This window comes from Homo sapiens, chromosome X (assembly GCF_000001405.40).
Source record: "Homo sapiens chromosome X, GRCh38.p14 Primary Assembly".
NCBI lineage: Eukaryota > Metazoa > Chordata > Mammalia > Primates > Hominidae > Homo > Homo sapiens.
In genome coordinates this window covers 150,445,056-150,458,124 of record NC_000023.11, presented here as the reverse complement: position 1 = coordinate 150,458,124, position 13,069 = coordinate 150,445,056, and the positions used below count along the sequence as shown (strand labels likewise).

Sequence of the window (13,069 nt, the reverse complement as noted above, 5' to 3'; positions counted from 1 at the left end):
CAACTTTTAGCCTGCAGAGATATCGACCCCACTTAGTAGATTTAGAGCCAGGCTGGTGAGCTCTGATGCCATGAGAGTCTTGGCATCAGAGCAGCTGAAACTTGGAGGGAACATGGGATAAGGAGTCAGTCCAAAGACTCTTCCCATGGTCTAGGTCCTCTCTTTTTAAATTGAGGTAAAATAGACATAGCATGAAATTAACTTTTTAAAAGTGTACAATTCGGTAGCATTTAGGACATTCACAATGTTGTGCAACTATCACCACTATCTAGTTCCAGAACTTTTTCATCATCCCAAATGGAAACCCCCAGCTCCTGGCAACACATTTATCTACCCTCTGTCTCTATGAATTTGCTTATTCTGAATACTTCATATAAATGGGATCATACAATATGTGGCGTTTTGTGCCTGGCTTCTTTCACCCGGCATCATGTTTTCTGGGCTCATCCATGTTGTGGCATGCCTCAGTACTCCGTTCCTTTTGTGGCCAAATAATATTCCATTGTGTGGACGTGCCACACTTGGTCAGTCCATTCATCTGATGGACATTTGGGTTGTTTCTGTCTTTTGGCTATTGTGAATAGTGTTGCTGTGAACATTTGCATACAAGTTTTTGTTGAACACTTGTTTTCGGTTCTTTTGGGTGTATACCAAGGAGTGGAATTGCTAGGTCATGGTGTAATTTTATGTTGAACTAACTTCTTGAGGAACCACCACACTGTTTTTCACAGCCTTGGTCTTCTTGGAAACTTGCATCATTGGAGGTATATGGAAGAGTAGCAGGGAGAGCTGGGACCCAAAGCTGATCTCCAGACTGGCAGAGAAATCTCTGCAGCTTCCTTAGAGAAGCACCTTTCTGTTCCTGCTGCTGGTCTGCACCACACTGTACCATGCCCTTTGCTAGTACCAGAGGCAGATGTAGGCAACACTTTTCCTATCTCCAGGCCAAATGATGGCATCCAGAGGCTGAGGGCCAAGGGAAAAAGCATGAACAAATGCGGTGACCAGGGAGTTGGCTTCTGTACCTTCTCAAGGCCAAGTGCCCTTTCCCATCTAAAACTGCAACCTGGACAGTGCTTGGTAAAGCCCTAATGTCCTATGGCAGAGTTTGGGGAGACCCACTGGTCACTGCCATTTGAGTTGGAGAGGACATTGCACTCTCTTCCTGGCTGGGAATGTACCATCTAGCATGGACTGCATTTGCCTCGGGCAAGAAACTTTTCTGAAGGCTTTGTCTTCCACAAGCCTACTCTGCTGCACCCACTCTTCTGCCTCCCAGCCCCTCCGGCCCAGCTGTATATCTGGAACCCTGAAAAGGTGAGCTCCTCGTATGCTCCCCATCTATTCAGCCATGCGGGAAATCCCTCTAGAGCCATTTCTGGGAACAACATGGCCAGAAGCAGCAAGAGACGTGTCTGCACAATGACTCAGCAGAGACTGCCTGTGCAACGGGTGTGTACCTGGGAGGTTGGTTCTGTATTTTTATACACATACAGGATGCGGCTTCTAGTAGCAAAGACTTTTTAGGGCTGTATGGGGGGTATATCATGTTCATGACATGACATAAGCACTCACAGTAGGCTAAAGGGATCCACACAGAGTCTCAGGATGTTGTGCTTTTCTAGACCTTCAGATCCAAGTCTTGGTGTTACCAACTACAGGCCTTTATAAAATCCCAGGCCCTTTCAGTGGACAGTGTACTTTCTCATTCATCAGCCTTTGATTCTAACAAGAATCCTAGGAGGTAGGCAGGGCTTTGCTTGGGGTCCCTGATTTACACATGGGTAAACTGAGGTGAAGGAGTTGCAGGTGGCTTACTAAAAGTCATATAGATAGTGGCAGAGAAGAGCTTGGCACTCAGGACTCCAGAGTTCAGCCCAGGTAACAGAACCCCCAAGAACCCCAGGCATGTATAGTGGTAGATGTGTGGACACCTCAGCAGTAAGCCAGCCTTCCCCGAATGAACCCAGAGGTAATTCTGGGGTGCTAAAGGAAAGGCAGATCACTTCAGCTCTTCACACTTAGACTGAGGATAAAAAATCACTTTTAGTTTCAGCCACGATATTTTGACTTGCCTGTAGGGACGGTTGTATTTGACCCACGGTTTTCCAAACCATACATCACAGGATAGTGCCAGATAGCAGTGACCTCAGAGAAGAAATCTCCTATTGTAGTTTCTATGATATACGTTAGGGTAGCTTGGCTGCTGAGAATTTGCTGATTCTCCTGGGCCCTTAATGAGCTCTCAAGTGCCAGGGTACACTGACTGGACCACTACACACTCCTTGCACACTATAGGCTTTGTAGGCAAATGGATAATCTGATTATACAAAAAAAAAAAAAAGAAGAAGAAGAAGAAGAAAACCTTCTGCACAACAAATTCTAATAGAAGAACTTAGCAGTGTAGGGTGATTAGAGGGCTTGAGGTAGGCCCTGAGCCCTCATGGTCTGTTTAAACCTTGTCTCTAATTGGTGGTCACCTTGGGCAAGTCATTTTTCCCTCTGTGAGCCTGTTTTCTTACCTACAAAATGGGGAAAGTAAAGCCTTCGTAAATTTGTTGTAAGGATTACATGAGCTTAGAAATGTAATTAGCATAGTGTGTGGCATAGTGTAGATACCAAATAAATATGATCTCTCCTTCTACTCTTGAAAATGCAAACACATTCTTGGTGGTCCTAAAATAGCCTGTAACATGGTTTACTCAGCAGCATTTGCTATTCAAGGCAGATCTGCCTTTAGTCATTGGCTGCGCTCCTGAACAGCTGTGTGAAAGGCTAACTTTTGTAAACCAAATCAAAATAAAATGCAGCAAAAATTTGTCACTGAAAGGAAATCCTCAGTATATCCTTTTATGAAATGAAAGATCCCTCATCCAAACTTAACTTTTTTAAAAGTGCGCATTTGGAGATATAGCCCTTTCTTATGAATCCTAATTCAATTTTGGCCATAAACACACGTTGATGTTCCCCACCCCAAAGCACATAGCAACAAGAGTAGGTTCTATATTGAAAATAATGACAATTTAAAAACATGTACTTATTTCACTGTATGTGTGTATGTGGACAGTGTCTATGATTGCATCATGAAGTGTCATATAACCATGTACGTGTACATGAGAGAGAGATAGAGAGAGAAGTGGTAGGGTGGTGGTGGTAGAGGGGATGGCGATAGTAATCATGGTAATGGTAGAGGTGATGGAGGTGGTAATGACGGAGGTAAGGGTGGTAGTGATGATGGTGGTGGTGGTAATGGTGGTGGATGTGGTGGTGGCAATTGGGATGGTGGGATGGTGGTAGCCATGGTGATGGTGGTAATGGTGTTGATTTAAAGGGTGGTGGTAGTGAAGGTGAGGGTAGTGGTGGTGGAGGTGGTGGTGCTGGTAGCAATAGTGATGGTGGTGATGGTGTTGATGAGGGTGTTGGGATCAGGGTGAGTTCCCACAGTATATTTCATTCTTGTTGTACCACTCTGTCAACAGCACCACTGACTGGGACAGAGGAAGAAGGCACACTCTGAATGTGTTATTAACAGAAACCTCAAAACAGTCTGTCTCCTTGTAGTCATTCAAAATTATCTTTTTCTTACCTGGAAAACTGAAACTGAATTACCGGGAAAAACACAGGAGATTTTTGTTTGTTAATATGCTGCCAATAAAGTAATTTTATGTCAAATTTAACTACAGGAAAGGGCAAGGCATTTTCTAAGTTCCTTAGATGTCATGTGGCTAAAAAAAACAAAAGGATGGACAGCAGTTAGATACTGTACACTTAGCTGTTTGAAGCCATATATTCAGAAAGCAGATGTTGGGAGTTGGTGTTTGAGGACTGATTTCCTGGAGGTATTTTATATAGGCCAAGTTCATTGTTCTAAACTCTAAGGGCTTGACTTGAGGGAGGAAAAGAGGCAAGAACATGTTTAGTTTTGCTGACAGCATCACATGGGCAGCCCTAAGGCTAGACAACTTTAGGGCCTGAAGCTTATTCTAGGAAAGAAGCACCTACAGAGTGGCACTGGGCTCCCCTCCACTATAGAGATGAAGTCATATGACAGTAAAGGGCAGGCAGGGCTGCCTAGGGGGCCCAGAACTGACACTTCCATTAGAATGAGCACAGGCCAGGGAGAGAAGTGGGGAACCAGAGAGAAGGAGCTGGAATTCTAGTAGGACAAACGGTAAGTGAACAACAAGAACAAGTTAAGAGTGTGTGCAGTATTCTTTCAAAGACTGAAAAAATAGTGATGTGATAGAATGGCAGGTGGCTCTGAGCAGGCCAGGAGAAGGACTGGGGGCAGAGCATCCCAGGCAGGAGGGCAGCAAGTGGGAAGGCCCTGGGGTGGGGCTTTTGGACTGTTCCAGTGACGGGCAGGCAGCCAGTGTGCCTGTCACACAATGCACCAGGGAAGTAGTCGTGAATTTGCAGAGGGTCTTGCAGGCTATGGGAAAGGGATTGGATTGTATTTTGTTTGTAGGGAAGCCATCGGGGGACTTAAGCAGAGGAAGGATTGGCTTCATCTCTTTGAAAAAGTTCTCTCTGGATGCTGATGGGAGGAGAAATGGAAGGAAAAGAAACACTTTTAGGGGCAAGAACTTTTGAGAAGGGTGGAATTGGGAGTGTGGAGTTGGGGCCAGCTTTGGCACAGGAGGGGAAGCTAAACACGTGGCCGCATGAGGGCCTGTAATTCTACCTGAAATGGGTACCATTTGTTAGGGTAAACAAATGAACCAAATGCCCAGTGATACAGACCAAGTGTTGGCAAACTTCTTCTGTGATGGCCCAGGTAGTAAATGTCTCAGGCTTCGCAGGCCATGTGGTCTCTGTTGAAGCTCTGTGTAGTAGACAATATGTTAATGACTGGGCGTGACTGTGTGCTAATAAAAGTTTATTTACAAAAACAGCCCGTGGGCTGGATTTAGCTCACAGGCTGTAGTTTGCCAACCTCTGACCTAGAGCATGAACTGAGCATCTTCTTGGAGGGAAATAAGTTCTTTCCAAGTTGCCCTCCTCACATTGCAGGGGGCCATGTAGGCCCATTATTCACAGAAGAGTGGGTGGGCAACCTTTCTGGAGCAGAAAAACGTAAAGATTTCTTCCGTAGTGCAAGTAAGGTGACCATTTCTAAACCGTGCAAGTGATCCAGCAGTCCCAAAAGTTGTTTCACTTCTCATTGTGCGCCCGTTCTCAGGTGCTCCGAAGCTTCCAGTCCTTTGTAGGGACATGGATGAAATTGGAAATCATCATTCTCAGTAAACTATCGCAAGAACAAAAAACCAAACACCGCATATTCTCACTCATAGGTGGGAATTGAACAATGAGATCACATGGACACGGGAAGGGGAACATCACATTCTGGGGACTGTTGTGGGGTGGGGGGAGGGGGGAGGGATAGCATTGGGAGATATACCTAATGCTAGATGACAAGTTAGTGGGTGCAGCGCACCAGTGTGGCACATGTATACATATGTAACTAACCTGCACAATGTGCACATGTACCCTAAAACTTAAAGTATAATAATAAAAGAAAAAAAAAAGAGAGGAGAGAAACATCATCCCCTCCAGGATACCCTTGGGCCTTGTTCTTATAGTCTTGTACATTGTTGAACAATTTGCATGGGCTAGTGGATTAAAGCACACCCTCCACCCTCAGGCCCTCAAGGGTCTCTATGATAATACAGTCTCACCTTCTACCCTTTCCATCACCATCCTAGGTGCTATGGCCAACCTTGAGGCTGCCATGTTAGGTCTATGCATTTCCCACCTCCACCACATAACTCTCTGAAGGCCAGGTAGTTTCCTATTCATCTTGGTAACCCCAAAGCCTCGTGACAGGGCTCAGCTGGCATCTGCGGATGTGAATGAACCATTGGAGAAAATGGTACTCTGCAAATAACTCTGTTATTTTCCCATTTCCTGTGTAAGGCCTAGAGACAATGACTTTTTAATTGCACCCCTTCCCCTCTGTATGACACTGGCCTTCTCTTGTGTCCAGCAATGTGGGTGGCCTAGATGATTTCTAAGGGACTTCTGGCCAAGATGAACAGCAGCTGCATCTTACTGAGCATTTACTATGTGCCATATACTCAGCCACAGCTCTAGGGGCATAGAAGCAGGAGCTCTCAGGGTCAGGGCAGTGAGTGAGCAAGCGAGCACCTATGCCAGCCCTGCCTCTGGATGGGGACTTGAGAGGGTGATGGAAGCCTGCAGCACTGGAGGGAGGCAGACAAAGACAGGCCTGTGCTGAGGGGGCCCGGAGCAAGAGAGAGGGAGGCAATGACAGCAGAGACATGCCTGCGCCTTGGGTTTGAGTGCCCAGTGGTCAAATCCACTTCCCTGTGGCTGATGCTTGCCTTTCTAACTTTGGAATTTAGGGGTTGGAGATCTGGTGAGAAGGTAGGAGGGAGATGAGGAGGAGAAGGGAAAGGCAGGAAGGAAGGGGAGGGAAAGGAAAAGCAAAAGGGGAGGAGGAAGGTTTCCAACAAATTATTCTATATCAACTGCGGAAATCAAAATTTGTTGCCCAAATCTTAGAAGCTCATGTCCCTCCTCCCCAGAAGTCTGGAATGCAGCACTCCAGGGGTAGCTTATAACCCAAATATCTATCTGTAAAAAGAGAAACATTGGGCTTTCCAGCTGTGGATTCCCAGTAAAAGCAAGAGGCCTCAGCCTACACAGGCCAGCCCAGAGTTTGAGGAACCCCAGGCCCACACCCACAGGGCTGGCCCCTGGGTCTGCATACTCCCTAGAAATGTGCACACTTCTGAGCCTCAACTCTGTCCTGGAGTCTAACAGCATCCCTCTCCTTCCTGGGGCAGTTCCACCTCCAGAAACCTGTTACCTTGGGCCTTATGTCAAGGAAACTGTGGGAAAGAGCTAGGCAGGAATGCAGATGAGGCCAGCATGGGCTCCTAAAAGTTTAGAAATAGGCAGTGTCATGCTCCCAGGTGCCTGCATAAACCAGCTGAAAAATGGAGCTCCCCTCACCAGCACTCTCCCTTCAAACAGACTGTGATTTGCAGGTCACTGGTTTACCAAGCCAGGCTACCCAGGCAGGACCCAGATGCCAAGCCCAGTGGTGTCCTGCAAGCTGAGCAGTGCTCAGTTCTTGCAAAAAAAGGTCTGTGTGAAGGCAAGGCCTCTGCCTGGCTTCTCACCCCAGTTGGGTGTCTGGAACAGGAAGGAGCCCTTACTGCAGAAAAAGGAGGAGGGAGCAAAGGGAGCGAACAGCTGCGTGCTCCATGGGGAGGATCCCCAAAGTAGAAAGGCGCATACACACTGCAGCCCTTGACCCAGAATGCTCACAGCTACATTACAGATTCAGGTCTCCTCAGTGTAGTGGGGCTGCTGATGAGACTGTGGCATCCTCAGGGGTCAGGACACACATTTTCCATCACTCTTCTGATGGCAAAAAACCTCTGAGCCAATGCCAACCTCTGATCATTAAAAAAAAGTGCTCACAGCAGTGTGTGGTTTAGGATCATGCCCTGTGTGGTTTGGAACACGTGCACAACCACACCTTGTTCATCACCATCCCAGAAACCCTGACGCAGGCAAAGAGCAGAGTTATTAACCCTACTTTACTGATGTGGATACTGAGGCCCAGAGGCTCATGCAAGTTATCAGTAAGTGGCAGGGACAGTTGCCTCTAGATTAACTAGCCCCTAGGATCACCTGGGTCTTGGAAGGGGACCCATAAACATGAGCTCCCCTCTCTTGGGGCCAGATTTGCACCTGTGCCGCGCCTTCAGCCTGCATGAAGCAGGGGCTGCTGGCAAAGACTCAAAGCTGTAAATCTGGGTTTTCTCTTGAGGCTTCTAAGGGAGCTGTTTCGACAACTCACTCTGTTCCCAGCTGGCTGCCCCTGCATAGGGTTTTAAAGCAGCCTAGCTTTCTGCCAGGCTTGGCAGTGGACAACGCTGGTCAGAACATCCCAGAGAGCTACCAGAATGAAGTAAGTTTGCTTCTACTCTTTACCTGTTTATGGGCTGTCTCTGCCACTGGAATGAAAGGCACTGAGAACAGTGCCTGGCCTGCAGAAGGCCCTGGAAATACCTGAGCTCCTAATCTGGGAATAGGAGTAGGAAGAGCTTTGGAGGCAGGGCACCTGAGTTTGAGATCTACAACTTCCTGCCTGTGTGACATTGGGAAAGTCTCCATCCTTTCTGAGCCTCAGTCTCCACCCTGGGGAAGTGGAAATATCAATCTCTGTGACACAGAAGCAAATGAGCGAATGTGCACAAAGTACCTTGCACAAGAGAGACGCTCAAACACTTGCCTCCAGGTTTCACCGAGAACTACAGAGTAAGATAGATTTGTTCCCAGTGGAGGAAGCCTGGGAATAATTTGCCCCTAGACTATGAATTCCTGGGGCTCAAGATCGAGCACAGGGCCAGGCACACAGAAGGGACCCTGGAAATGTGGCAGGAGGCCAGAGATAGACAGGCCCTTAGAGCTCATACCCATGCCCTCTGACCTCAAGAAGAAAGAAACCTGCTCAAAATCTCACAAAGAGCTTGTTCCAACCCTGAATCGAGTCTGAGGACTCCTTCCTGAGTCCAGCACTTTTTCTGCAAGAAGTATATGCCTCCAAAGCTGATGGGCGCAAATCTTGAACCCCGTCACATAAACACAAAGGGAGGAGGTGACTAGAGCTCCTCCTACTGGATATGTCTAAGGTCACCAGTCTAAAGAAAAGGGATGGATAGAATGAGGCCAGTATTTTTGCAGCCATCCAAATGTCCACATACGCTGTTACACTGAGGGCTCCTCTCTCCCCCGTCTTCAGCCCTACTTGCATTTAGAGGTGAGAAAGATATGGGCTGAGGGGTTGTTTTTCATCGTATTGTAGATGGAAAGCACACTGCCCTTGGGGCCATCCAAATGTGGACCTTGATGTAGCACCCCACCTTCTGGATGGCCATCCTTCTGAAAGTCACTGAATTTCTCAGACTTTATTCTCTTTATCCATAAAGAAGGAGAATAATAATAATCCCCCCACCCTGCCCAACCACTGACTGGTTGGGAAGCTCAGAAGAAATACTGGGCACGGCATCCCATTGTAATCTATAGAGTGAGTCGCTTCTTAATATTAAATGGCTGAACACAGAAGATGTGCAAAAAGTACTGTGTCCCCTTCCTCCTCCAACTGAACATTTCATGCCCTTTGCACCCTCATTTTGTCTAGGAGCTGCCTTATGAAGGGAATAGGTACCTGCTCCGAGCTGGAGGAATCTTTGCCACTTATGGTGGGGTATGGACTGAGACAGAGATGGCATGTGACATGCGCACTGAGTCTCAACTCCATGCAGGCTCTGGAGCACTCTCAAATTGGAGTACTAATGCCTTTTAAATTCTCACACTAGCAATCCTTTGACCTACTGATCTAGGGATCTAGGGAAAGAATCGTGATCTTAACTTCAAAGGGAAGGACAAAATGTTCTGCCTCCTGTTAAAACTCCATACACTAAGTGCAGAGACTGGATGCCTTATTAACCTTGGGTAGATGCCCAAATGTTCAAAAGGTCAAACTCTTCTGTTCCCCAGATCGCCAGAGTCATTAACCAGTCACACTATTAAATGAATGAACAGATGCTGAAAAGGTACTTGCATTACTGAGATTTCTTATGGTGATGGCCCCTGCCTGATATGTATTCAGCATTTTGTAGTTTTCAATGTGCATTAGAGTATAGTGGTGATGACATTGGCCTCTGAGTTTGCCACTTCTTATATCTGTGACTTTGGTCAAATTGCTTAATCTCTCTGAGTCTCGGTTTCCTGGAGATAATAATAGCTTCTTCTTCCCAGGGTTATCATGAGGATTACAGGAGATAATGCCCCAAAAATGCTTAGTAAAGTGCCTAGCACCTAGTCAATGCTGAATTAAAGGTGGTTATTCTTACTTTTCGTTCATTTGAACTTTGTTCTCAGGGAGGGCAAAGGATAGACAAAGCCCCATAGCTAGTGAGGAGTAGCTGCAAGACTAGAACCCAGGTGTTCTGAGCCCTAGTCTTAGGCCAAGAACAACTGTTACGTGAGATGCACGTTTTCCTTCAAGGGAGCTCACAATTATTTCCATGTAAATTCAAGGACTGCTAAAAGAGAACTCTCCTCTGGGACTGATATCATTTTATTTCAAGATTGATTTGAAACATGTTTTTTGTTTGTTTGTTTGTTTTCTAGGAAAGAACAAGAGAACCAGTTAAGCTGAATGCCTGAAGCAAATCTCTGTTAGCGATGTTTTCAGGATGAGGGAGAGTGGTGCAAGAAACGTGCTTCCAGATGCACATGGTTTCCTGGGACTAGGGTTCAGGGTGTCATCCCTGGGTGTTATTAAGTGTCAGAAGGAGAGCAAACAAGGGAAACATCTGAGATCCAGCTAAGGCTACACCCTGGAAATGCAAGCCCAGCTCTTGCAAAGGACCTCCTTTGGCCACTCACCTTCCAGGCCTTACAATAACTTGTTTGGACTGCAGGTTTCTTGGTGGACTCACAGGCCATTCTGCTTTTATTTGGTCAACCTCAGTTCACAAGCACCCAGATGCTGAGATCCTCAGCATGTGCAGCAGAGTTTCATATTAGCACTGGGTACCTTTCTGAGGCTACAGGGATACCGTACAGCAGCACCTGTCACGTCCAGCCAAAGGAGTGGGCTCTCTCAATGTCATCCAATGCTGTTTCAACTGTGAAGAAGACCATCTGAGAGAGTTGCTTTTGGAGGCTGAGGCAAATTTTTAAAATTCTTTGTTCTCCTCAACTGGGGTGAATTCTTGGTCTTCTAGGACAGCTTGAAGTTTTAGAAAGAGTCAAGCCACTCAGAACCAACAGAGAACTCTTTCAGAGAACAAGGTGTGGCATAGAGGAGGCAGAGGGCTGATCTTGATCAAATCCAAAGTGTGACTCTAAAGCAATGAATGTGAATTTTTGGCAAAGCTTACAAAGGGCTCTAAAGGCCATCTGCAAAGAGAAGCCAAGCCTGGAAATGACGTAAGCAATGACAACTTTTCCAGAGTAAATGCACAGATGGCCACTCCAAGGACCTATTCTAAGGACAACCCCCACTGGAATCTGTGCATTCAACTGTACACTGATCAAAACCAAAGCAGTTACTTACTGGCCACACTTTTTAAGAGTGTTGATGGAGTTGGGGAGAAGGGGAAGAGGACCCCTGCATCCACAATCCATCAACACTTTCTTCTACAATTTGGCCCAAGTGAATGGAAACAAGTGGGAAATAAAAGAGAAATTTAAAGTCATGCTAAAACTGATCACGGACTCTGGGAGCATTATCAGGTTTTTCTTTACTGACTCAATTGTTGATCATAAAAGAGAAGCATGAAATATAAAGGGTAATTAGGATGGAGGTTAGAGATTTCTTTCTAGAAGAGGCCTAAGGCCTGGCAATTTGGACAGGCTGCTGGCCAAGTAATGTCTCCATCTCTGCCATCCCACCTGACTGCAATCTCTGTGAGAGCTGGGGAGTGCAGTAAACAGTTTTGTAAATGTCTACATGCTCAACTTGATAGCACATTCTCAATACATTGTTGGTGGTTGACAATGAGGAAACAAAGAGAAAACAAGATTTCAATCACCTCCATCCACATCTGTGCACATATCAGAATTTTAAAATAAATTGAAAGCTGACTTGCTGAAAGTGGATTGCCCTGGGAATTGGAGAAGACAGGCCCTCTAGTTATGTGAAATGGCATTACCTCAGAGCCCAGGGCTTCCAGTTCTATGAAAAGGAAGGAAGCCGACCCACGGCTCTATAAGAGCCATTTCCTCTCTGCTCTATTAATTCCAGAGATTAAGCAAGCCACTCCTCTGTGGCCCTAATACCCTGAGATAACAGCTATTGTGTTTGCTGCAATTCCTGCTAACAGAGCTAATCTTGGTAGATTGGTGGTGTTGCAGGCTTTTATTGTCAAATTAAACTAGTCAATGGCTCTCATAGTCCCTTCTATCATCATCCTGCTCCTAGAACTACCACTGGAATCCCTAATCCTGAGGTTCAGAACACTTGGATGATGTCTGAGTTCCCAGGGAGGAAAGTAGAAGTGTGTCAGATGAGTTTCTAAAAGGACAACAGGGCCAGAAAGTTGAATGGGAAGACCTCTCTGTGCCTACTCACTAGCTTTTTGTTCTCAGTCATACTAGGAAGCTCATGCAATATATCTAGTGCTTGCCATTCTGACTGGCTTCTATTAAGAGAAAAAGTAAACTCGTCTTCCCTCTCTCATCCTTCCTCATTTTTCTTATTGAATGGGTGCAATGCAGTGATCACTACTAGACTGGGAGGCTATATGGAACCTTAGACTATATTTCCAGCTCTTCTAGAAACCCACAAGGGGTGGGATCAGCTCATCTCCTAGATCTCTTCTAGATCACATTTGAATTCCTTATATTTTGAGTTGGATCCCTGCCACCAAGTTTGCACAGAAAATTTCAATAACACATCTTACGTTCAAGTTTAAGATTAGAAGCATTAAATACCCCCCTCCCCCCATGGCCCATTGTCTGACCGATTCCTGGAGCTTTCTGGGCTCCTGACGATTTCCCACCATGGCGAAATGGGGAAGCATGCTCTTGATTACAAGCCGACTTTTCCAGTCATCCATTGTTTGACCTGCAAATTTATTCTTGACTCTCCAAGGCGTTTCCCAAACGACCTAGACACAGGGCTTAGGGAGACAAAAAGTACACTGTCTTTCAGATATGAAGATGAGACCACTGACCCCGTGAATCACAGACTTTCACTCTGAAGACAGGTTTGTGTGGAGTCAGCCACATTCCTTTTCCCTTCCTCCCACCCACCACCCTCATTGAGCACCCCCACCCCCAAGAATGAGGGGCATTTTTGTGAGACAGTTGGCTGGGATAAAATGACAGTCCTTGACCAGAGGAAAGAACAAAGTTCACTGGAAGGTAGAGGGGTGGATGGAGGAGCAGCTTCATGTGACTAAAATAACACTGGGCCTACAAGTATGATATCTGGGTCCTACGTCTGGATTTGCTTTTGTGTGATATGCAGTGAGATCCAGGAAAACTTCCTCTGTTCTCTGAGATGCAATTTCCTTAT

At 46.2% G+C, this 13,069-nt stretch overlaps 1 protein-coding gene across 11 annotated transcripts in view; it reads right to left on the bottom strand.

The window, feature by feature from the left end:
* MAMLD1 (mastermind like domain containing 1) overlaps positions 1 to 13,069 on the bottom strand; it is a 152,602-nt gene that overhangs the window by 56,049 nt on the left and 83,484 nt on the right. For all 11 annotated transcript variants that reach the window (XM_047441709.1, XM_024452317.2, NM_001400515.1 and 8 more), the window contains one exon: positions 12,513 to 12,671. In XM_047441709.1, the coding sequence (XP_047297665.1) occupies positions 12,513 to 12,608 (96 nt within the window). In that variant the 5' untranslated portion in view covers positions 12,609 to 12,671. The remainder of the gene's footprint in view (positions 1 to 12,512; positions 12,672 to 13,069) is intronic.